The sequence below is a fragment of the Homo sapiens genome, chromosome 22 (genome assembly GCF_000001405.40).
Source record: "Homo sapiens chromosome 22, GRCh38.p14 Primary Assembly".
Taxonomy (NCBI): domain Eukaryota; kingdom Metazoa; phylum Chordata; class Mammalia; order Primates; family Hominidae; genus Homo; species Homo sapiens.
The window spans coordinates 17,866,670-17,891,872 of NC_000022.11; the positions used below are offsets into that span (position 1 = coordinate 17,866,670).

Sequence of the window (25,203 nt, forward strand, 5' to 3'; positions counted from 1 at the left end):
TAGAATAGAATAGAATAGAATCCAGAGTGTACTGTGGCATGATGAGAATAAAACGTTATTTCTTGGAACTTGCAGCTGTGTCTGGGTCTCAATGTAACGTGCATCCCCGTGGGGGGTGTCGTCAGAAAAATCTGAACACCACTGAACTTGGCTTTTCCCATGACTCTGGTAATGGAATTAACCCACGCAGTCATTTTTTTCTGACTCTTTTTTACTCTCACTTAAAGAGCGACTGACGACTTTTGAATCTCAAGTGATAAACCCTACTATAGAAACTGTTGAAACAGAAGTAATCCCATTTCATTTTCCTCATTTGTAGAGAGTGCTTCTTAGACAAATGAGCTTTCCTGATCTCAAAGCTACAATAAGAGGACCTAAAAGTCAAAGAAAATAAAGGTAAGATGGCATTCTTCCCTTTCCCTTTCCCTGATGATCTGATTATATCTTTCTTCTTTTCCTTCAGAGAAACTGACTTGTTTTACCTGCACTCCCTATCCAATGCTGAATAAATCTATTAGAAAGACACAGATTTTAAATAATTTTCATAATGCCTAGTATACTTTCTCAGACAGAATGTTTCACTGGCCACTGGCACTTGGCCAGGATGCAGAGACTCTACAGTGGCAACACCTGACAGCCAAAAGTCCGCCAGTCTTACCGCCTGTTTCTCCACCAGGGGAGTGGAGCCACGGGTTGTTGCCTGGAGCCTGGCCACAACTTCCTTTTCCCATCTGAATAAGCCACTCAGCTTTTGTAAATGTTGGCCACCAATAATTAGGATAAGGTAAGATGTATGAGTGCTTGGATCATGCGCTACTTGTTTTGGTCTGTTTTGTATCTCATTCTTTAAGAAATACCCCTCCTTCCTCCATGAGACTGACAGGGGCTGGCAACCACGTGGCCTGACCTTCCACCACCAGTAACACATGACCCAGGCCGCTCGGCAACTCACTCCCTCCACCCCACCCAGGACAGGGTGCTCTGGGGACTGGCATGTGGCCAAAGGCAGGCTCGCTGGAGACGTTATGGGGATGGTGAGGGAGGTGAGGGAAGGGGCAGCCCTTCCCTGGGGACTGCTCTCTGGATGGAAGCTATAAAGTTAAGGCTTCAACTGTCATCTGCATTGGGTTTCTATTACTTGTAACCAAGAGCCTTGCTTATTACAGTAACAGAAAACTAAAATGTTATCATGGCTTTCATTTCTTCCTTCTATTTTTTTCCTACATTAATTTGCTTGTTTTTGCAAAAGTGGAAACCCAGATCTTAAAGTATAACTCAATTGAACTCAACTGAATCCTCCTTGAACTCTGCTTTGGTATCCTAAACTAATAAAGAAAAGAGGTTTACATTTCAGAAACAAGTCCTCCAAGCCTAATCAAAAAGTTCCAGAAAACTGTTTTCTCTAGGAAGGCAGTATAGATGATGCGAGCAATGTGAGCGCTAAGTGTGATCTCCGTTCCAACACTGTCTCAACTGCTCAGTAGCCGTGTGAACTCATCTGTCTTTTGGAAAATATCTCCTCCCATGGAGAAGAACACAGTACCCACCTCATAGGTGGAGATATTCAATGAGGTGGCACAAGTCACGTGTACGCATCTCCCCATATCCTTTCCCAAACTCAACACGATGGCACTTTTTGCTTTTTAAATTAAAAAAAAAAAAAGCTAATTTTAATGTTAACATTTACCAAGTGCCAGACACTATTTTAACTGCTTTCCATCTATCAACTCATTTAATCCCCAAACAAGCTGGTGAGGCAGGTGCCATTAGTACCCACCTCTTTCTCAGCGAGGAACAGGAGGCCGAGTGACCTGCCCAGCGTGTCCCACAGTCAGTGAACCGCAGAGGCGGATGTGGTCCAGGATGCTGGTGCCAGAGCCTGCACTACCATGACACTACTATGCTTGCCTCAGTGGTAAACCCAGCCTTGCTATGTTTTTAATTAGCTATGAATTGTGGGTGATTCAGTCAAGTGACTGATTCTCAATGGTCCAAATTAAGGAATCCTGATAACTGAATATGGGAGTAACTGGAAAAGGGAAATGGAGAAAACAGGTGGCCACAGGGCAAACCCAAGGTCAAGTGGGCCGTTCATTCATTCATTCACCCAGGCCCGAGTGCCACTGTATGACAGCTACCAATCTGAACACCGAGAGCCCCCAGGCAAGCAGACAGACTGGTTCTCCACTGAGTGCCCCCAGGCAAGCAGACAGAATGGTTCTCCACAGACGCATGGATGAGACAGTGCGAGCCCTGCATGGAGAACCACACAGGCGCACCGGTGCCTGGGCAGCTGCCTTCTATCAAAAGAGCCAGACCCCTCTCTGAGGAGCGCCACATGGAGATGTGAAACACAGGCGTCTCACCCTGTGGAGACCAGGGGGTGTGCTCCAGGAGAGGACACAGCAGAGCCACGTCCTAAGGGAGCAGTGGCTTCATCATGCTTATGGGATGGAAAGACACTGGAGCAAAGAGTGCAGCATGCTGGGGGCAGCTGACGGCAGAGGCTGGGGTGGACACGCAATGCTCTCTCCACCTGGGACAAGGTTGTGGGCTCTGTCTGCACGGCAGCGGCTAGGACACTGGTGAGATCCAAGTCACACCTTTTAAAATCCCTCCGGTTGCTCTGTGGAAACAGACTGGGGTGTAACAGAGGCAAGGAGACCAGTGGTCCAAGTGGAAGATGCATGGCTGGCTTGGAGGCTGCTGCAGGGATGGAGACAGTCTCAGGCTCATCACTGACGAGGGCCACCCTGCACACACCACCTGTGGAGGTAGCGTATGTCTCTTCTCAAGATGACAGGGAAGGGCCTGACACTAATTTTGAGTCCTTGTCTTAAGAGCTGGCAGCGATCACAAATGAGCTAATGCTTTGCAAAAAAAGAAACAGCAGCTCTGTGTTTGAGCAGACGGCATCCTCCAGAAAGAGCTGAAGACAGAACAAATAGCACCACAAGTAAAATATGGGGACATCTTCAAATATGATTCTTAATTTACTAGTATGGAGTTGGCAGCAGGCCTGGAGTCACAATCCCTGAATCTCTGACCTGGAATGAATCTCAGGTGTCATCTGGTGCAAGTGAGCTATTACTAGTTGTGTCAATTTGGACAAACAACATACAAGTTCTCTGAACTCAGCTTCCTGACTTCTAATTACAGTAATAAAAAGTTACTTAATGGGGTTGTTGTGAGGACAAAGGGCGTGATGTGTTGGGGCGCAGCACAAGGCCTCGGTTACTTCCTCCTGCCACAACCTCCCCAGCTTATTCTTTGTTCTCTGAGCCTCTTCAGTTAGACTTCTGAGACACTTGGCAACTTGGATAAAAAACAGGCTAAAACTTCGGTGCCCCTAAAGTTCCTTCCTGGCTCTAGTCCATCTGTCCTCTGACAGATGAGGGGAAGGACTGTGGAGGGGCTAAGCTGATGAAAATTTTATCTGGGTTAAAATTTGGGGAGCTGGTTTAGAACGGCTGTCTTCTCTGCTCCAGTGTTAACAATACTGCACTCAACCAGGCTGGCCTCATCCTGTCTCGGCCTCTCACTGCCACCCGATCTCCCACCAGGTGCGCACCTCTGCCCTCTACTCAGTCACCATACCCTTCTCTCTCAAAGTCTAGCCAAGGGTCAGGGAGGTCATCCCAAGATGCTCTTGAACTTCACAGATTTCCTCCTCCCCTGTGCTTCTACAAAGCGACAACCTAGGCTGTGTAACCGAGCCTTTCGCTGCACACACTCGTGTCGCCTGCTACTCTTCATGGGTCTCATCCCCATAGGACAGTGAGCTCCTGGAGGCACACATTACACTTCTGCATCTTTCACAGAATGCAGCAAAGATGCACACACACACCCATGGGCAAAAGTACCTGTAGATCAATTAGCTGCACCTTGCGACATCTTCTTTCCGGGCAGACTCCACGGTGAGAGGCTAACTAGAACACCCTGAGCATCAGGGACAGCTCAGCGAGGTTGGGTGGCTCCCTCTGCCAGGCCCCATCCTTGAGATCAAATGAGCTATCCAGAGAGCAGGTGTGTGTGAGAGGTGGAACAGAAGACTTGACAGCAAACAATCTGCCTGCCTTATCTAAACAGCGTCCTAATTCTTTCATTCTTCCCCGACTCGGGAGTGCTTTTTACCAACATAGCAGAAGGGCCAGGCACCATGACAGGAGTCAGCCTTTCTCGGCTCACCTCTCTGGGCTCCTTCCTTGCTCCTTCTAACAGAGGTGACTGTTTGTTCACCCTCAGGACAGCTGAAGTGACTAGGTCCTAACGGCATGGCATCCCTCTCCTATATGACCTCACTTTATAATCTCACAGTCACGCAATCTTCTATCAATGTCAAGGTCTTTATGCCACCTTATAAAGATTACTGCCTCTCCTATTAATCTAGGCCCCCTCATTACTCTGGAATCTATAAGACTGCCTCCCACGAAGTCCCTCCAGCATCCTATAGGAATGGGGCTGGGGGTCCTCAATGCAGGGTCCTCAGATGGCGGCCAGCCTGCCTCTGCCCATCACGATGGCTCTATCGTCTGTGTGCAGAATTCTCTACTGTTACCTTATCAAGGTCTTTTCACTGTAAAAACTGGCAGCACATGTTGCCAAAGACCAGGCCTTGAACACCACAGTAAATCAGATTCAGGCCCTGTGCAATGGTTCGCAATCCACCAGAGAGAGATCAGACAGATGCCAGAGAGGTGTTAACACGGGCCACCTTGCAGACATCTCCAAGAGCAAAGGTCTGAGAACCCAGGGGCCTGAGACCCAGCTCCAACTTGCTGTCATCATCAACCTTAGGCAAAATATGTGACTTCTATGGATGTGCAAGTCCCCTTCCGTAAAGACAAAAAACCTTATTTTTATTGTGTTCCTTTTATCTCAAGTTCCCACCCCGAGGTCAGAAAGCAAGTAAGTGTCCCTGAAGTCAGGGAAATGACTTAGGTAAATGCATGCCATTCTCATCAGCCTGGTGACGCTGGGAAATACTGATAAGTAAGAGTCTTAGAGAAAGAGTGATGGAGGGAGAGGGGCAAGAAAGGCTGGGAGAGGCATGATGGAAAAGACGCACATGGAATAAGGCAGGAAGGGGCCCAAAGGCGCCCAGCTCAGATGGAAACACTGTCCAAGCACAGTTTCTCAGTGGGGCCGGAGGCGCAGGGTGTCTCACCATCCTCGATGTCGTAGGCGTAGGCCGAGAGGCGCAGGGTGGTGGCGCAGTACTCGCACTTGAAGCAGCTCCGGTGGAAGAACTTGCCCTCGGCACTCAGCCTCTCCATCACGTAGACCCGCTTCTGGCAGAAGTAGCATGTGTCGCTGCCTCCCAGGTTCTGCGGGAACTCCTTCTTCATGGAGCCCTGCAGGAGGTGGCGGTCGGGAGGAAGGGGAGCACCTCAGGGAGTGCCACACAGGCCCTCCTAGAGGCACAGCCTTGCGAGAGCAAAGCCAACCCTCACTAAGGGGTCTGCTTTGAGACAGACTTCTAACTGGCTACGGTCAACTGTGCTCTTGGCTCTGCCACAGAGTGACGGCACCGCCACAGTCACTGCCTCCACGCACTGACAGAGAACACTTGGCACAACCGCGAAAGCCTGGGCCAGCCTGCTGCTGACGAGGGAGCCAGCATCACAGTGCTTCACACCAGACTTGAGTAATGCTATGATACAGCCTGGCGACGCCGGGAAATATCGACAAGAAAGAGTCTTAGAGAAAGAGCAATGGAGGGAGAGGGGCGAGAAGGGATGGGAGGGGCATGATGGAAAACACACACATGGAAGAAGGCAGGAAGGGGCCCGAGGGTCCCCAGCTCAAATGGAAATGCTAGCAGAGTTCTGTTCTGAGGGTAGCTGTATCTGTATCTATTCCGTGTTGACATAGTTCACATGAATATATGTGGGTCCCTGGACTCACACAACAACTACTGCAGTCTTAGGAATTTGGTTATCAAAACCCAGACAACCTCAAAAGCAATTACCGCATAGCATACACGGGCTATGCAAGCTATAAGTGACTCAGCACACAGGTGTGTTTCCCATGGCTGTGCTGGGTCTAGCTACACAGTGCCTGGAGGCGTCTCTTACCAGTTCCTTCTTGTCTAGAAGGGCTTTGGGTTGTTCTTTCCTTTGAAGCTGATTGGCTATCTGCTCAGCCAATGAGCTCACTCCGCCCGTGTACATCTTTATATACTTCTATCGGTTGAAGATTACAAAATGACCAGAATGAAGGGAAATGAGAAGGAAAAAAATACATAAATTAAGAAGACACGGGGAAAAAAAGAAATCTTTGGGAAGTGCAATTTGAATACAAGGTGCAGCAGCAAACCATGCCAACACAGTGCTCACAGGCAGGGAAACCGGGTGGAAGAAAAACATCGCGTCAGTGTCCACGCAGGGGTACCGGCACAGGCAGGACGGCTGCAGGGGAAGTGTCTTCCTTGGGAAGAACTGGGTCTCTCCCATCTCTGTGGAATGCACAGTTCCAGGGAATGGTGGTAGAAGGCAGGGCGAACGCGCACAGAGACAGGCAGGCAGGGCCTGGGTCCTGCAGAGCTGGGCTGCATTCACAGAACTCGAGGGGCACCCCCATGCACGCAGCAGTGCCCAGGCTGAGCCTGCCTTTCACGGTCCAGGAGGCCATCTCCTCACTCAGAAGGAACCATGTTCACTCCTGCACAGGCCGCCTCTGTGTGGGTAGCGCACGTCGCCAGCTCTTCCTGCTTCCTGACGCTTGACCCCACAATGCCTGCCACAGGCAGCGAACGCTCCCAGGCTGTTTTGGAAGAAGCCTTCTCAGCCCTTTCTCCCTGCTGATGTTATTGGGGGTCTGAGGGCAGCATGATGAGGCCCGTGTGGCCCATCCAGGTGCTGAGGCCAGAGCCTTCTAGACTGGGCTGGGCATGTTGGCCACGAGGTGTGGCCATGCAGCCAAGCTGCTCCACCAGCCCAGGAAGGTGGGAATGTGTTCTAGGCCAGGAGGGCTTATTTTAGAGGTTGAAGAAAGGTAAGAGAAAAAAACCCAACCAACTCAAGCCTCTTTCTGGCAACACTGAAACCACAGGAGAAACTTCCACGTCTCCATCATGAGCCGCCCTGCTCACACCTAAGCTGGGTGCCCAGGCAGCCCCGCCTTGACCTGTCCCGAGAGGAAGTCCTCTAGAGACTCCCACGATCAAATCACCCTTCCATGTGGAGATGGCCACACCACCATGTGGGTGATGCTCCTCTCATGAACTTCATGGAGTAAGGGGGCTCCCTGCCCCCTGGGGGAACCTGACCCTAATTCTGACTCAGCAACTCACCATGAGCCATTATCCCGGGGATGCCAACAGCCCCCTTAGGACATGGCCTGAATGGACAGACACATAAGGCCTCGTGTGAGGAAGAAACACAGAAGCACCGGGCAGGGGGAAGCAGGCGCTCGAGGGGCTCACAGATGCACACACGACGAAGCCGTTCTTGTGGCTCAGCTCAAGGCTCAGCTGAACTGAAGAAGCAATTATAGCTTTTAATTCAAAAATAAGATTCCCAAGGATTGGTGCCATTTGCCCATTAACTTCACAGATTATACCTATTAGTGGTCAAGACAAACACGTGGCTCTCAGATCTAAACCTTCTTTAGGGACACTAAAGAAACTGAGGCTTGGGACAGACAGACACCAGGCAGAGCTGAGCAGGTAACTTAACAGCTGACACTGAGGGAGCAGAAAATGGCATTTCTCTCATTCTGCAGCAGACACGGGGCAGTGTGGGCCAGATGCCAAGTATGAGGCCAGGACACCAAGCCAGCCCTGGGCCCTCACTGCTCAGCCAGGACCCTTTTCTCCTGAACTAAACCATCTGGGTTTAGTTGAACTAAACCTGGGGCTGCCCGTGCAAAGGCATCTGCCACATTCAGTTCTCAGCAAGTTGGCAACACTGACAAGCATCCCTGCAAGAGAGGTGAAGACTCAAGTTCTATTTGTTTCTGGCATGAAAAGCGATGGTTTCCTTCTCATCACTCATAAAAAATAGCAGAAATGTGGCAATTGCGGGATCGATCCCACCGCACACCATACGTGTGCATATGCTACCATGCACATAGGCCTCAACCCAGGCATGGGAAATACCAGTAGGAGCGGCAAAGAGACCTTCCAATCTCTCTAGAAACTCCCTACAACTGAACCAGTGCTACTTCAGATCCCGCCGCACACCATACGCGTGCATATGCTACCATGCACATAGGACGTGAGGTCTGGCGTCAACTCAGGCATGGGAAATACCAGTAGGAGTGGCAAAGAGACCTTCCAATCTCTCTAGAAACTCCCTACAACTGGACCAGCGCTACTTCAGGTGACAGCCGCGTACATTCCTCAAATGATGACAACAGGCAGCCAGAATACCGCATCATCACCCCTCCATTGAGGTGATTTAATTACATTGTGGTTCCTACTTTTTAACACATATTATTTTGGAAGACATGTGAAGTTAAAAAAGCCAATGGCTGCAAAACATTTATCATTATTTGATATAGTTGAAATAGGATCAAAGCGGGTTCACATCAACAGACCTGGATGTGTCAGATACAGTTGGATGAAAGCCAGCAGCCACTTTAGCTGAGGAGTGTGCCACAGACCTCACACACGAGACCGACACAGGCAAACAGCAACACATGCAGCTGGCTCCCTACAGGAGACGGGCCCAAGTGAGGAACACTGCAGCCTCCTGGGGTACATGACACTTGCGAAAGTGACGTGAGTGGAGGCTGCGGAGGGCAGAGTTTTAGTGAGTCCTAGGCCATGCTACCTGTCGGAGGGAGTCGGAGGAGGGAGAGGCGGGGCGGGCAGAGGAGCGGAGACTAAGAGAAAGCTCCCACTGGTCGACAAAAAATCGACGAGGAGGTTCAGGCTCTGGCTATAAAATACAAGATGGAGAAAAACAAAAGTAAAGGAAATGTTAAATTAAGTCACACACTGACCTCTGAACATAAGATGGTTGTAGAGCCTTTTACTCTAGACCTTTATCTAAATACCATGTATAGTAAAAAAAAAAAAAAAAAAAAAGTAGCTCCAGAAGCATAAGCGGCCCATGCAAGGCTTCCGTTTTGCTTTTAACTGTCCTTCCCTCATGCTTGCAGCAGAGCACACCCTGGAACGCGGTCCCGCAGCTGTGGGCCGCCCGGCACAGCCTCGGCCTCCCTCTGAATGGGTAAGGCAGCCTGCAGGAAGGGCAGGGGGATGGCTTGTCGACTCACATGCTCTGTGCTCTGCCAAGCAACCCCCGGCCTGAGCTGGGATTTCTCCAGGGCAAAAAGATTCTCCCGCCACCCTATCACTCCATTGGCCTTAGAAGTAGCAGGCAGCGGAGACAGCAAATCTAGAGTGAAGCTCGCTCCTTCTACAGAAGGGCCAGGAATGCAGCATCTCTTCCTTCCACTTAGTGCTCAGAGAGGCTCTGCTTGCCAAAGAGCCAGCTGAATCCCAAGCAAAGATGAGGAGAAAAGACTTGAGCCCAAATCCTCTGCAGACTGCACATAGCACACGTAACAAAACTGGGCAAGGGTCTCCCTTAGCCGTGGGCCCATGCAGCTAGGAACCCAGTCCCCAGAGATTGAGGCAGTGACCGAAAGCTTTGGCAACCAATAACTGCTTCATTTCCCACCAGGTTCAGAATGAACTATTTACAGGTGGGAAGGACAGCATTAAGTCATGATGCTAGAAAGCCCTCTGCTCCTCCAGCTCCAAGCCAGATTGGTCACACTCCCTACCTCAGCCACGTGCACTTCATAGCTCCGTGGGGTGGCGACATAGACTGGCAGTTACCTGGTACTTCAACACCCTCTGCTTGAGACACTCAGCCAGCTCCTTGGCCCTGGGCTCAGCAACACAGGCCCCAGAGGGAGCTGGAGAGGATGGCTGTAAGCACCGCCCCTCAGAAGGAAGCAAGAGGGAGACTCAGTAGCCCCCTGGGGGGCAGAGCAGTCAGAGCCAAGGGGAGGAGTGGGGGACTGGGTAGGACTGGGTAGAGGTGGGGCAGAGAGGGCAAGTACACATGCAGGGTTATGGAGGTTAGGGAGGTTATGGAGGTTAGGGAGCTTATGGAGGTTAGGGAGGTTAAGGAGGTTAGGGAAGTTATGGAGGTTAGGGAGGTTAGGGAAGTTATGGAGGTTAGGGAGGTTAGGGAGGTTATGGAGGTTAGGGAGGTTAGGGAGGTTATGGAGGTTAGGGAGGTTAGGGAGGTTAGGGAGGTTATGGAGGTTAGGGAGGTTAGGGAGGTTATGGAGGTTAGGGAGGTTAGGGAGGTTATGGAGGTTATGGAGGTTAGGGAGGTTATGGAGGTTAGGGAGGTTAGGGAGGTGAGGGAGGTTATGGAGGTTATGGAGGTTATGGAGGTTAGGGAGGTTATGGAGGTTAGGGAGGTTATGGAGGTTAGGGAAGTTATGGAGGTTATGGAGGTTAGGGAGGTTATGGAGGTTAGGGAGGTTATGGAGGTTAGGGAGGTTATGGAGGTTAGGGAGGTTATGGAGGTTAGGGAGGTTAGGGAAGTTATGGAGGTTAGGGAGGTTATGGAGGTTATGGAGGTTAGGGAGGTTATGGAGGTTAGGGAGGTTAGGGAGGTTAGGGAAGTTATGGAGGTTAGGGAGGTTATGGAGGTTAGGGAGGTTATGGAGGTTAGGGAGGTTAGGGAGGTTATGGAGGTTAGGGAGGTTAGGGAGGTTATGGAGGTTAGGGAGGTGAGGGAGGTTATGGAGGTTAGGGAGGTTAGGGAAGTTATGGAGGTTAGGGAGATTATGGAGGTGAGGGAGGTTATGGAGGTTAGGGAGATTATGGAGGTTAGGGAGGTTATGGAGGTTAGGGAGGTTATGGAGGTTAGGGAGGTTAGGGAGGTGAGGGAGGTTATGGAGGTGAGGGAGGTTATGGAGGTTAGGGAGGTTAGGGAAGTTATGGAGGTTAGGGAGGTTATGGAGGATGGCAGCAGAGTCCAAGAAAAGAACTTAAGTAGTGTCCTCAAAAGTATCCAGCCTGGAGCCCTGCACTGAGGAGTGCAGAAACCAGTTCAGAGGGAAAAAGAGAGAAACATCTCTGCAAGCCTTATTGCCTCCTGAGCTCAAAAACCCTAACTCATCCCCTCTCTGCACCACAGCCCTAAACTTCAAATTGTTTCTCACTGCCAATCTCTCCTATTCAACATGCTCCCCTCCCTTCTTCTTTTTTTTGAGACCGAGTCTGATTCTGTCGCCCTGGCTCTGTCGCCCAGGCTGGAGTGCAGTGGCGCGATCTTGGCTCACTGCAAGCTCTGCCTCCTGGGTTGATGCCATTCTCCTGCCTCAGCCTCCCCAGTGGCGGAGACTACAGGCACCCGCCACCATGCCTGGCTAATTTTTTTGTATTTTCAGTAGAGACAGGTTTTCACTGTGTTAGCCAGGATGGTCTCGATCTCCTGACCTCGTGATCTGCCTGCCTCGGCCTCCCAAAGTGCTGGGATTACAGGCCTGAGCCACCGCACCCGGCCTTCCCCTCCCTTCTTCTTTTAGGCGCTGTTTCATTAAACATTATCAGCATCTCATTAAATACACAATCTGCAAAATGGAGGGCACTGCCCTGCTCAGTGAAAAGGGCTGCTTTCCTTTTTGAGGGGACACAGCCTGGGAAGAAGAGAGAAAGAGGCTGGGCACACAGCGCCGTGGGAGAGCAGCCCCAGAAAGGGTGAGCACCGTGGGGCGAGGCCATGGAAAGGGGGTGGGAAAGACCCCCACCTCCAGCCCAGTCTCCACTCTCCGACCCAGCACCAGGTTCAGGCAGCACACACATTGCCCGCTGCTAGCCTGGTGAGAGGGCGCAGGAAGATGGCACTATGATTAGCTCCTATCGGGTCCGAGGGGTAACCTAATTTACTGCTTGGCCATAACTGCATTTCTCAGAGAGCAAAGGCAGAAGGGAGTTAGAAACCAAAATGGCTTTTGTGAGATTAACAACTAGAGATGATTCTTCCCGCTAGCTGCAGAGCTGTACCCACTTGGAGATCTTTAAGGGTAGGAATAACAAGAACAAAAGTTTCATAAAGTAAGCCGGCTTCTTTAACTGGGCATCTCGGCTATCCCTCACATTGTACGATGGCCAGCTGCAATCAGTAATTTCTCCCCTCAGTGTTTCAGAAAAGACTAAAGCTTTCCACGGGTACAGCCCCATTTTGCCATCACCTACCTTTCTCCCCCTCATTCTCATCCCACTGGAAAAATCCTCACGCTGGTAAGAGCTTTGGCTCTCTTAGGATTTCCACTTCAAGATCCGTGACTGCTGAATGCCACTTGAATACTGATTTAGACCCTCTCCCTAAGAAGTTGTATCTGACAGTCCAATGCTACTACTCTACCACTGGCACATAGTTTGGGGGTAGAAATAGTATGGTCTTGGAAGGGGAACAGTGGGCAGAAATGGGAAGTCATTAAGGCCCTTTACAATACGCACATTTAGGATCAGCATCCCATCTGAATGCCAGATGGGTGACTGCTTTACAGTGAATGCTATTTGCATTGGTCAACACTGCTAGCAAAAAGAATTCTGGCTCTTGGCTGGGTGACAAGAGCGTGCAAAAAGCAAGGGGAGGGGGCCGTCCCCCATATCCCTTCCCGCTGCCCCACCACCACAGCGTGCCCCGTGTGCTTGGCTCTCAGCATCCCATGCCACGGGTTCATGCTCTTTTACCCTCTCATGGTGGGGGCTCTGCTTGCCACGGTTGTCAGCATCAAGATCCCTGTATGTCTGTTGGCAACAAAGTAGAAACTTAAGCTCCATGCATATCGCTCTATTTGGACCTACTAAACGACAGTGGGAAATTCAGGGGCAGAAATGCAGAGTTCAACACATATCGCCTTCCCCTACTAACCCCATCCCCAGGTAACCATAATCCCATCTGTATCAAATCCCATGACACAAGGCCGACTTTCTGCACAGCCATTCCACCCCCCACTGGCCTCCGACGAGGCCAGCTACACGGATCAATGAAGAACTATGGTTAGTACAAAGGTGGAACAAGCATATTTCTTTCACACAGTGGCATAAGATCAGAGGCATCAAATGGAAGGTTTAGAAGGAGAGGCAGGTTAAAAGGGTGACACATTCCACAACAAGACATTTTAGAAAGCAAAGGTGGGGAGGTGGGAATTGGCTAGAATAAATGACTAAGACAGCAGTCCAGAGGAAACTCCAGAGTGGGAAGTGGTTCCTGAATAGGAGCATCGGGCCAAAGCATAATTTACTAAAGGGAGAAGTGAATGTGTTTTTGGCGAATGGACGGGAAGGTATATGTGAAAGGGTAAAGACCTGCAGGTAGGGACATGGCCTTGCTCATCCGAGGAGCCAGAAGCGGCAATCACAGGACCAGGGAAGGCTCCTCGCATTACTCTCTGGCTGGCTAAGGGTTCACCTTACAGCCACGTGCGGGTGGAAAAACAGCCCCAAGGCCTCTGACGTGGCTGCTCCTATCTAGCACCCGTGAGCATAATGTCTCTGTGGGCAGAGGGAGGCCAGAGCGTAGCCCCGGTCCCACAAGCCAGATTCGAGTCTGGCTGCATTGCTTACTATGCGGCTCAGACACGTGACATGGCCTCTCCACTCTATACTTCAGTCTCCTCCCTGGTAAAACGGAGCCAGTAACAGCACCTGCCTCACAGGGTTACTGTGAGAACTGACGGAGACACAGCTTGAGAAGAACTGAGCGTGCTTTCCAGGCGACAGCGGACGCTGAGGACGGCTAGCTCTTGTGTAGATGAAGGCACCCAGCAGCTGCTCAACCTGCAACGGCTCAGTTCTGAGAACCATGGACACAGGTGGGGCCTTTAAAATCAGTCACGTTAATACGGTCACACTTTAAACAGGCCACCCTAGGTGGGAAAATGTCTTTCCATAGATCCTGCTCTTGAAACTCACATTTTATAGAAACATACCATGAAGGTCAACAATGCCATCCTACAAACATGCCGCAGACACACGCCTGCTGTCCTCACTGGCCTGCTGTCCTCACTGGCCACAGCTGTGGCTGGCTATGGGGCTGCTCCTGAATGCTGTGCCTGGCGTGCAAGTGCAGTGGGGAGGAGTGTTTGTTGGAAGATGCTGAATGGGCAAGAGGCAGAGCTCCCAGAATCAGAAGGAACGAAACTCACGTGGAGAAGCCCTGCGGCAGTGCCCGAAGGCCTTACTCCACCTCACTGTGCAGCGAGAGAAAAGGGCTGCCTTCAGTGGGGTTTTAGAAAAACAGGCTGCTCTCAGGGCTCCTGGGCCTCGGATGCACGACAAACATCAATTACAGTTGAACTTCTAGTTCGTGGTGGGACAGTCGTGTTTCCATGATGTGGGTGGGACTGACTAGGGTCAGGTGTGAATGTAGGATGCACCATCCTGAGGGCCATAAAAGTTGCTTCCACCACAAACGGTTTCTACGCATAGCCTTTCTTCTTGATAGTTATTGCTGGTAAGAGGGAAAGTGACTTGGTCTCTACACTAGCCACCTACACAGACAGGCAGGCAGACAGAGACAGGAACATGGAGCATGCAGAGAGGATCACCTGCTGGCCGCCATGTGCCCGACAGGGAGGTGGAGTAGGGGGAGGAGACAGGGTGATCACTTTTTTGGGGCAGGTCCGAGAACACTCCTTTTCCCGTTGCTTTTACACCAACAGACACAAACAGAGAGAACATCATTCAAACAGTGGCCATGTGGAAGCTGGTTCTGGGAGGACTGAAGGGTGTTTGTCAGAAGCACCCCAGGGAGGCCTTTCCTTGCCCCTCCATCCTCAGAGGGCAGCCCAGTGGTCTCCCGTGGGCCCCCAGGTGGGACGTGCACCTTCTGATAGGCACAGCCACAGGGGTGATCTGCGGGACTGGGGAGAACCAGCGGTGCAGCACTTTCCAGGTGCCAGGGAGCAACAGTTTTCTCAGGGAAGTTGGGGATACAAGAAATAGGCTTGCTGATGAGTAGAGAGGGCAAACAGGCCAACCACTAAGAGGGGACACAGAGACCCCCTCTCAAGGGCTTGGTCACGTGCATCCAATGAAGCGAAGCAGCAGCCCCTTCAGGGAGCAGCTGTGATAGTGGCTGGCACTGCTGCCCTCCTCTCAGTCCCTGCACTCATGGAGGCTCAAAGGGCTCCAGGAAACTAACAAGGAAATGCAACAAAGGCAGGAGCATGATGTCAAAATTAAATGTGTCTCACTAACATTTGAATGCCATATACATGTCCCTGGCTTTTCCCTCATTTCTGCCCCCTCCACCGTATTCCCTTCGAGAGTCTGTCTACAATTTACAAAGCCGCTGGTATTTGAGAAACAATCACACATTCCCAGGCCTCTCTGATACCTTCCAAGGAAGTCTCATCTCCCTGTGCCCAGGTGACCCATGGGGCAGCATGCAGGGAGCCGGGGAGCAGGGAAGCCACGAGGTCTGGGGAAACAGCCCCGTACTCGCTCAGAGCTCCCATGACAATCTACTTCCAAACTAGGGCTGGTTAATGCACAGAGCTTGCCTTTGGGATGTGTTTCTGAGATCAAAAGGCAAAAGGGTGGGGAAGGGAAGAGCCACAGTGTTTACAAAGTAAGGAAATAAAGAGAAGCCACTGGCAGGCTGAGCTGCTATTATTTTCCCTCTTCCATATGATGACCTAGGCTGAGGCGGGCCCTTCTGTCAACTCAGCTATCACTGTCCTACCAGGCAATGCCCTCCTGCCTCTGAACCACCTCCAGAGAAGCACCATGAGTCACAATGGGATGCTGCCAGTCAGCCCTGCTTCTTGAAGGGAGATGCGGAGGGCCAGCCATGGGAGGCATCAGACACAGGGCCTGGGTACCACTGGAGTTCCTCTGTCCCAGGCTTCTGCAAGTATCTGGCACTGCAACTCCAACTCTCTTTCAGGAGATAAATTTAGAAGGCCCAAATGCATGATTTAGAGCTGAGAAAGTTCTATGTGAATACTATACATTTCACATGGACTTAAGAACTGTGAGTTCCGGTTCACAGTGCTATCTCCCTGCCACCTGGTAAATTCGCAAATCCCTATTGGATATCCCCTGTACCAAAGAACCTAACGGGGTTCTCACCGCTAACGATTTCTCACCAATCAAGTCTCATTTATACATCTGCCCAGCTACTGTCTCCAACTGTAATCTCCAGTGCCCATCCCACAGAACCTGCGTTTGACTTTCATGGTTCTATTCCACTGCCCACACAGCCTGCCAGTCTCCTACTCCACCATGACCATACCGACTCAGGTGACAAGCTGCGCTGGCAGGGACTACCAACATTCTCCAGGGAGAGTGCTTCTGGCGGCCCCTCAGTGCCATTCCAGCCACAACCACCTGTTCCCCCACTCGCCTATGTCACTCCTGACCTCCCTCTCCCTCTGCTCCTCCCACCTCAGGCACCCGTTATGAATACTGTAAGAGGTTTTGGAATCCAATTTGGAGTTCACCTTCCCCTGCAACAGATCCTCAACTAAGCATCATCTTTCAAATCATATCTTCCACCTAGACATCAAGGCAAAGGTTAAGAAAATAAAATGCAAGTAAACTTCCAATTACATTTTTCAGAAGACCTCCCTCATGCACAGAGAAAGAATGAATTCGCCTTCTGTCGTGAGTTTGGACACTGCTCCCAAAATTCCATCTCAGCCTTTTGGGCCCTGCCTTTAATGTGCTATATTATCAAAGAATGGTTAGAAAGGAACATTTTTGCCTGAATGTAAGTAATTTAAATAAAACCCAACTCACCACTCCTCAGTATCTCCTAACAATAAACTCACTTTACAGCACAGGAGGCTGGGGAGACCGACTACGGAAGGCACTGACGGCATCCAGGGCCCACTCATGGCCCTCTCAGCATCTCAGCAGACCTAAATGATATCGGACAACGAGGTAGCCAACCCTGGCTCCACTCGAGAGCAGGGACTTGCTCAGCTGTGACACGGAGGAAACGCAGCTGGGGGTCCCAATTCCTCTGCTGGGTTTTCTCTTAGAAAGCGCATGCCATCACCTGCCCTATTCTGTACTACTTAGGATAAGCAGTTTTCCAGGAGATCCTGCCAAGGTTTTAGTGAAAATTTCCAAAAACATTAATTTAAATGTAGAGAAAACACCAAGAAAATGTCCAGGAATACCTTCATCCAGGATTTAAAACAAACACAAACTCATAGTTCCAGACTATTTTCCTGGATAACATTCTCCTATTTAATGTAAAAGGCTCTACACCCCAACTCTCAGGCCTGACATACTCAGAATTCTCTCTCCCAAGGTCACGAGGAAACATGCTAGAAAAAAGTCAACTTGAGACAAATGTGACAACAGCAAACCCAAGAGCGCGGGTACCCTTGGGTGAGCCACCTACCACACAGCTTCAGCGAGTTTCAAACCAAATCAACAGTCTCCCTTTTAACTTTCTCAAATCCCCAGGAGTTACATAAATCATGCAATCAATCAGCACTGCCTGTTCAATGTTTTCCCAGAGCTACTACTCGAATGAGCAGAGATTTCCTGCCCTCATGAGCTAGGATTCCAGAGCACAGGCCTGAACCCTGGCTGGCTCAGGAGGAGGGGTAGGAAGGCCTGGAGAGACAGCACCCATCCTGGCCCTGGCAGTTCCTTTACCTGTTTCCACCGGGGGGTGGGGGCAGGGCGAACCTGCCCAGGCAGGCAGCAGGACGGCTGGCTGGCCCCACGCTCTTGTGTCAGCTGGGACACACAGGCCAAGTGTGGGTGGGGACAGGACATGGAGACAAAACAAAATAAAAATACATTAAGGTGGGAGAAGAACAGAAAGAACTCACAGGCGACAGCCCCATATCTGTGAACTGTGGGGAAGAGGGGGACTCATTCTTAGAAAGTTACACTTCTAAAGCAAAGCTAACAGCCTCCCCCAAACCAAAAGCAAATGCAAAAGAACAGAAAAAGGAAAACAGAAGCTGTAATACGCATCATCTCTTTTCCAAGCTAAATGTTCTCTGAGTCTAAGCCACTAATTCTGATTTGGAAAACTAATATTCCCATCCAAAATGAGGAAAGCAACCTTCTCTTAGAGGCAACCTTCCTCTAACGGACAGCATTCCAGCCTTCCCAAGGTAGGGGCACCTGGGGCTGCCAGAGCCTCCAGACAACCACAACCGTTTATCAATGAATATCATCACCTTTTCTGTGAGCCATAGCATGAAAAGACTGGCGTGCAAAGACTAGATGTGGGAGGTAGTTAATTATGGCCAGACTCCAAGCAAAGCTGCTCCCACCCATCTGGTCCATAGGAAGAATGGCTGATGGGCATGGAAAAGACGGAGAGAGAGAAGAGAAATTCAGAGAAGCAGCCCTGCCCTCCAGCTGCTCTCTCCAGTTATCATTGAGATTTATGAGACACTTCCAGTGCGAATCTTCAAAATCCCAGCCCCGCCTCTTGTAAGAAGTCAGAGTGACTTTTAGACAATCAAGGGGAGAGACACGCCCTAACCAAGACACCCCAAGCCACAAGCTGCTGCCATGCACTCGCATGCATGGCATGTGGGAGTGCTGCTTAGCACTCAATGCTCATATTCCTAGGAAAATATCCCGGGAAACAGCTGCAACACACAAAAGAAGCTTTATCATAAGAACGCTTATCCAAAGATGAGAAACAACTCGAACATCCAACACTAGAGCAACAGCTAAGAGAAGCCTGATGCCCACACATTCCAAAAGGTGCTTGTAAAGAGTCAGGAACAACATGGGAACGCCTACGGTTAAATGAAAAAAGGAGAATCGAAAAGTATATGTTAAGAATGACCTCATCTACAAAAACAAGAATACACTGAAAAAAACACCAGAAAGAAGGGCAGGAAAATATTAATTAATAGAATTACAGGTGGCTTAATTACCTTTACTGTACTTTTCAGCATTTTCCTCAGTAAGTGTGTACTTCTCTAGAATTTAAATATGTCTGCAAACATGTACAGATGTACAGGTATATGAATACAGATTTTTTTTAGATCCCTCTGCTGATTCTTGTCAGTGGACACCTCAGGCCTGAACACTGAGGACGGAGCAACCCTCAGAGCCTGAAGCAAGCATATACAGGGCTCTTCTTTGCTGCAGTCAGGCGAGGGAAAGCCAGATGCCAGCCCACGAACGCTGGGGTCTGTGACACAGCCCATCTCAATGGATGGAAAAGATCCCCCCTTCTTGTGTGATCTGACCAAATCGGTGTGGGCAGGGCACGGGTTGGGTTTACCTGTCTCCGTATGCCGATGGACTGTGCGGGCGCATTCTCTTCAAATTTGGCCAGCAGCTGGGTCGCCATGTACTTCACTTTGTTCTGGTTCCCAACGGCAACGTCCATCCTCCTGTCTGTCAGAGTGCTCACCAGGGTCGGTCTTTCTCCTCTGTGGCCCCGAGGAGCTTCCTCCTGGTCAATGCCAACCCCAAAGAACCCGGCGCTGTGACAGGAGGCTCCCCCCATGCCCCTCCCTCACAGAAGTGCACTCAGGACCTGGCATGGGGGCTGGTGGACTGGCTCAGCTCTCAAGGTTCCCGTGTCCACACAGAGACAGCAAGCCTGGAGGTAGGGCCGTATAAAGAGTACTGGGACCTGTGCTGGTACTGCCACATTCCAGGAAGCCACTGCCCTCGAACACATGTATGAACCAAAGAGACAAGGAGGCCCTGGTGCACGTGTGTGCATCCCTGGTGTGCTCTGGAAAATTAAACAAAGGCAAACATCCACAGAAAAAACCAGAGAGGCCAGGCATGGTGGCTCACACCTGTAATCCCAGGACTTTGGGAGGCCAAGATGGGTGGATCACTTGAGGCCAGGAGTTTGAGACCAGCCTGGACAACACGGTAAAACCCCATCTCTACTAAAAAATTAGAACAATTTGGCCGGGTGTGGTGGCTCATGCCTATAATCCCAGCACTTTGGGAGGCCAAGGTGGGCGGATCACTTGAGGTCAGGAGTTCGAGACCAGCCTGGCCAGCATGGTGAAAATCCGTCTCTACTAAAAATACAAAAATTAGCAGGACATGGTGATGCACACCTGTAATCCCAGCTACTTGGGAGGCTGAGGCATGAGAATCGCTTGAACCCTGGAGGTGCAGGTTGCAGTGAGCCGAGATTGCACTACTGCACTCCAGCCTGGGTAAGAGAGCCAGACTCTGTCTCAAAAAAAAAAAAAAAAAAATTACAAAAATTAGCTGGGTGTGGTGGCACATGCCTGCAATCCCAGCTACTTGGGAGGCTGAGGCAGGAGAATTGCTTGAACCCAAATCCAGGAAGTGGAGGTTGCAGTGAGCCCAGATCGTGCCACTATACTCCAGCCTGGGCAATGGAGAAAGACTCTTGTCTCAAAAAAAAAAAAAAAAAAAAAAAAAAAAGAAAATAAAAAAAAGAAAAGAAAAAGCCCAACAGAAATTCTCATAAAGGATGAATATGAAAAGACCTAGCAATACCAATGTGGAAATGAAGAATTTTAACCAAAAGGGGCTATTCCACATGACCATTCTAGCAATTCCCCAAGTGAATCTCACCTCCTCTGATTGACTGGTCTTTCTCCTCTTCCCAGCACCATCCAAGTCCTTTTCCTTTTTATCCTGTACCAAGGGAGGAGGGAAACTGCATTATTCTAGCCATACATACCTTGCCATTAGCTTTGCAGCCCATCAAGAGACTCCTCCACATACCTTGGGAGAACGCTTCCGAGAGATGGTCTGGCCAAGTTTGCTTAGGAAGGAGATAGGGGATCTGGTGCTGGCTATCAGGACTGCTTTCTCCTCGGCATTTAGGTCCAAGGTGTCTGGGAATAGAAACCAGTGATGTTCAAGCACAGCCCTTGAGGGCGCCGCAAAATCCTGACCAAAACTACTCTCCCTCGTGGATGGTTCGCAGAGCCTCAGAAGGCTCTAAAGGTTCACCAGCTCCAGGACAAGCATGTGGTCTCAGTAGGAAACGCCACGGAGGAAATGCATACTTGGGTATGGACATTGAACCTTCTTTTGTTCATCCACATAAACAAAAATGACTCTTCTTCCCAATCTACTACAGTTACCAAAACCCGCACTTTTGCTTTTCAAAAGTTGGAAGCTGGCTGTGATTGTTAGTTACAGCAGAGTGCTGAAGGCTCGTTTTTGTGACAAAAATTTCAGGACAGAGAGAGAGGGAGGGAGAGAGAAAAGCAGAGAGGCGATGAACTCAGGGTTCCTGGTTTTAGTGTATGCAGATGCCACACTCTGAGCTGCACACAGATGGGGGTGGCACTGAATGGGTACGTCGATGTTAGAGCTGTGGCTTTCTGTTGTAAGAACGTCATGGCTAACCAGGAAAAGCCACAGATCCTTACAAGAATATATGGGCTGGAAAGCACTGGAGGGTGGTAACACAAGCTTTTTGGATTTCAATGTTTCATTAGTAACAACAGCAATTTTTAAAATAGTCATTAATTCATAGTAAATCACTAACATTTATTAAGTACTTCCACTGGCCAAACATCCTTCTTGGCACATCACAATGTAATTATACATATTATCCCCATTTTACACCCGTTACCCCATTTTACAAGATAGGTTGACGGAAAGTGAGACACAGGAAAATTGAGTAACTTGCCTAAGGCCAAGTGGAAGCCTGGGATACTGTAAATCCAGGTCAGACCCCACAGCCAACACTCTAGCCTCAACCTACACTTACTCTAAGGGACAATTAATGACAACAGGAATATTTTTTGTAGCACTATGAGAGCCTGAGACAGCAAGCTGAGAGACAAGCAAAGATTTTTGGGAAGTGCTAACAAGTAGGAGTAGAAAGAAGCCAAGAGAATGCACAGTGACAGGAGAAAGAAGGGCAACAAGAGTGGTTCAGGATCACAGACACAGAGGAGACAAGATAATTCCACGAAAAGGGACATCGTTCTCCGGTGCTCAACAATGCAGAAAAGCAAGTGCATGAGAGATGGGAACTGAGAAAAGAGTAGGAGGTGGGAATCCTCCTCACTGGGGAACAGCTGCAGTAGCGCGGTATGAAGAGAAGCCGGATTATAACCCGTTACAAAGTTTGGGCCGTGCAGAAGCAGAGGCCACAAGCACAAGCCACTTCTTCAAAAAGGCTGGCTCTGAGAGCACGAGCACTAGAAGGTGGTGGTCACGGAAAAAGACGGCACAGGAACGATTTCTGCATTTTTATAAATGCAGTGAGAAAGAAAGGAGGGGTTGAGAACACACTACTAGAGAAGGGAGAAACAATGAAGCAAAGCTCCAGAGATTTCCCTGACAGCTAACTGGTAAAAACACAGAGTAACTTTGTGTTTGGTGGCACTGCTGCGGGACAGTCGGAAGGAAGGAAGAACAGCCGGGCCACAGCACAGCAGCAGGGGGCCGCAAAGCAGCTCCTTCCAGGCCTTACCGCTAGAGGGGAGGGAGTCCTTAAACATCTCGTAGAACTGAGTCAGGTACATCACCATGGACAGCTTATCAGGCTCCCCCACGGAGGCCATTTCTTTGCCTGTCATGATGGGAGAAATGCCCAATTCCTTCTCAGCAATGTCAAAGGCCAGTTGGTTATTCTTCTCCACATTTTGCTCATCCAAAGAATCAAAATCTCTGAGAAACAGGACAAGGAAAACATATCAAGATAGGTTGACAGTCCTTAAACAGAAACGCAGTATCCTGGAGTCATCGTCCTTTCTCTGTTTTCAGCTAAAATCCAGGGTGCTGTGCATCGCTGACATTTGAGAGCAAACCTGTCTTATCTCACCTCTTGTTCTTTTTCTTTTTACTGAGGAAAAGCAAAGCAACCTCAGGAAGTGATGAAAGGTCTACCCACCAAAGAAAAAAAGGGAGAAAGTCAAAAAACGACTCTCATTTTTCTAGTAACACAAATTTACTACTAAAATGTGAGCTCGAGAATAGGGACTGGCTGGGCACAGTGGTTCACACCTGTGATCCCAACACTTTGGAAGGGTGAGGCAGGAGAATTGCTTGAGCCCAGGAGTTCAATTTAAATTAAAAATTTAATTCAAATTAAAAATTAGCTAGGCATGGCGGCATATGCCTACAGTCCTAGCTACTTGGGAGGCTGAGGCAGGAGAATCACTTGAGCCCGCAAGTTCAAGGTTGCAATGAGCTATGACTGTGCCACTGCCCTCTATCCTGGGAAATAGGGCGGGACCTGTCTCTAAAAATAAAAATAAAAAATAATAGGAACTATCTTTAATATATCTTGATCCTTGTGTATGGCCCATCCACATTAAACTAATGTCAAAACATGATACATCTCCCATTTGGATCAGATTGCTCCTACAGGCCTGGGACTATCACCCACCATGGCCCTTAGACCTGACAAGCTGTTAAGGTACTAAATCAGCTCTGATCAATCTTAGCCTTCTCCTGGAGGGGAAATTCCAAAATCCTCCTCAAAAAATTTTTCCATTGCTAAGTTTCCTATTTAGATTAATGGCCATTTCCTACTGGGTTTAAGCCTCTTGCTTTTCAGAAGACTGATCGCATTCTTCTTTACATGACTTCAGGTTAACCCAGCAGCCCTTAATTCTGTGTTAATCTAGGATCCCACAGCATTTTCCATTTTCTCAAACTCCTCCTCACCATAGGTTCAGCCTCTGAAACTATGACCTCACTGCTGCTGAACAGTGCCGCGCTGTCCCTGTGCTGCTTTGCCTTCCTAGAAGACGGTCCCCTAACCTTCTCCAGGCGCCCCTCCACCCCCACCTGCTAGGCTCCCTCAACCACTTCTGCCTGTTCCCTTTGGAACAGAGCTGACTCACCTGCCCATCCTCTGCCACTGATCACAATCTTTCCCAAGCTGCTCTTCCTTGCCCTACCCCCTTTCTTTGGCAGGAGTGAATAAGCCCTATTTTTACTTACTTGCTATCAACTTCTGGGTGAGCTAAGTGACAGGAGCACCAGAGGTCACTTACCTCCATCCAAGCACACCAGAAATCCCCATTTGTAATCCACACTGCACAAGGCTATTTTTACCAGCTCTTGCCTTGTCAGTTTATAACCATCATATAAATAGCAACTATATCTTGTAGGATTCCTTAAGCAATCATTAAACAAAACAAACAGAAATTGGCCCCTTAAGTGGACCTAATGATGAAAAGGACAGGAAACCAAAATAATGCAACATGCTCTGCTTCTGAATCCTTCGGTTTGGCTTCCGTGGTAACAAATGCCGATGGGGGAACCTGGGTGTGCTGGTCCCCGCAGCTGACCTGGGGTCACCCTAGAACTCTGATTCTGTAGACAGGTGAGTGGAGAATGGCCAAAGGAGATGTCACTGGGATAGGTGGGTAGGACAACAGAGTATGTCTGTAAAAAACGCAGTCTTTAACACAGAGAAAATACCAATGAACCATCATAAATTGGTCAACTGTTCATGATGTTTTGCTTTGTTAGTAGTGACACATTTGCCTTGAGCTGGCCAAATGTTCTAGCCAGGTTTCCCTTGTGACCCATAGAATTTGAGAGACAGCTGGCCGAAATGAAGAGTTCAACCGGGGCCAATAAACAGTTTTCCTTTGTGGGAAGCTAACAGGCCCAGGTGGGTGTCAAAACCAGTTTTTGACTTATGAGTGTTGTGATTTTTAAAACTCAGCTATAGGAGCACAAAAAAAAAAATTGGAAAAAAACAAAAATAAAAATCATTCCTGGGTTGAGCTATATAATACATGACATACAGAGTTTCAAATATAGTGAAATCAAAATCACTGCCTTCTAGAGAAAGTATCTTACTATGTACCTCATTCTAGGAAAAAGGACAAAATGTTACTTGATAGCAGAGTGGTCTGAGATCCTTGAGGAGTATAAAAAAACACAAAGTTTGATCACAACTTACATCAGGTCAGGGCGGTATCTATGGATAATTGCACAAAGGGCCAAGCCACTTTTCCAGGACATGGTGAGATCTGTCACGTTTACCCCTGCATAGCCATCTGTCTGCCTCTGGCACCAACCCAGCAGTTTGCTTGAACGAGCTACAGACTCTAAAACAACAAAACACAGTATTATTGGAGGTGTGGTCACCTGGTAATGCTGACAGAGAATCCTCTTTGTAGGACACATGTCCCCTTTGAAAAATTACTGAGGGTAGGGACGAAACAGTCAACACTAGTTTCCATGCAAAGAAAACAGTGAGGAACAAGGTTATGCAAATGGTATCATGACAGCGAATTCTAAGAAAAGAAACTACTAGTTTATCCAGACTCTAAGGTCAACGTCCACCC

At 49.3% G+C, this 25,203-nt stretch overlaps 1 protein-coding gene and 1 long non-coding RNA gene across 4 annotated transcripts in view, besides 1 other annotated feature; one reads left to right on the top strand and one right to left on the bottom strand.

Annotated features, from left to right (window-relative positions):
- MICAL3 (microtubule associated monooxygenase, calponin and LIM domain containing 3) overlaps window positions 1–25,203 on the bottom strand; it is a 236,913-nt gene that overhangs the window by 79,021 nt on the left and 132,689 nt on the right. For 2 of the 3 annotated variants that reach the window (NM_015241.3, NM_001122731.2), the window contains 6 exons: window positions 24,816–24,963; window positions 22,365–22,561; window positions 20,654–20,766; window positions 20,501–20,563; window positions 19,209–19,382; window positions 5,168–5,354 (listed from right to left, as the gene is read on the bottom strand). In NM_015241.3, coding sequence (NP_056056.2) covers window positions 5,168–5,354; window positions 19,209–19,382; window positions 20,501–20,563; window positions 20,654–20,766; window positions 22,365–22,561; window positions 24,816–24,963 — 882 coding nt within the window. Of the gene's footprint in view, window positions 1–5,167; window positions 5,355–6,077; window positions 6,186–8,777; window positions 8,886–12,676; window positions 12,734–14,535; window positions 14,635–19,208; window positions 19,383–20,500; window positions 20,564–20,653; window positions 20,767–22,364; window positions 22,562–24,815; window positions 24,964–25,203 lie in introns of all 3 variants that reach the window. The other variant, NM_001136004.3, reaches the window with a different exon arrangement.
- Window positions 82–648, top strand: LOC124905075 (uncharacterized). The gene is made up of 3 exons (XR_007067998.1): window positions 82–168; window positions 320–396; window positions 569–648. It is a non-coding gene; the product is annotated as an uncharacterized LOC124905075 (long non-coding RNA).
- Window positions 18,835–19,335: an enhancer, noted in NCBI's record as "H3K4me1 hESC enhancer chr22:18368270-18368770 (GRCh37/hg19 assembly coordinates)". NCBI's record gives its function as "activates a minimal SCP1, AML or CMV promoter by ChIP-STARR-seq in primed H9 embryonic stem cells {active_cell/tissue: H9 hESC(primed)}" and the evidence as "EXISTENCE:reporter gene assay evidence [ECO:0000049][PMID:30033119]".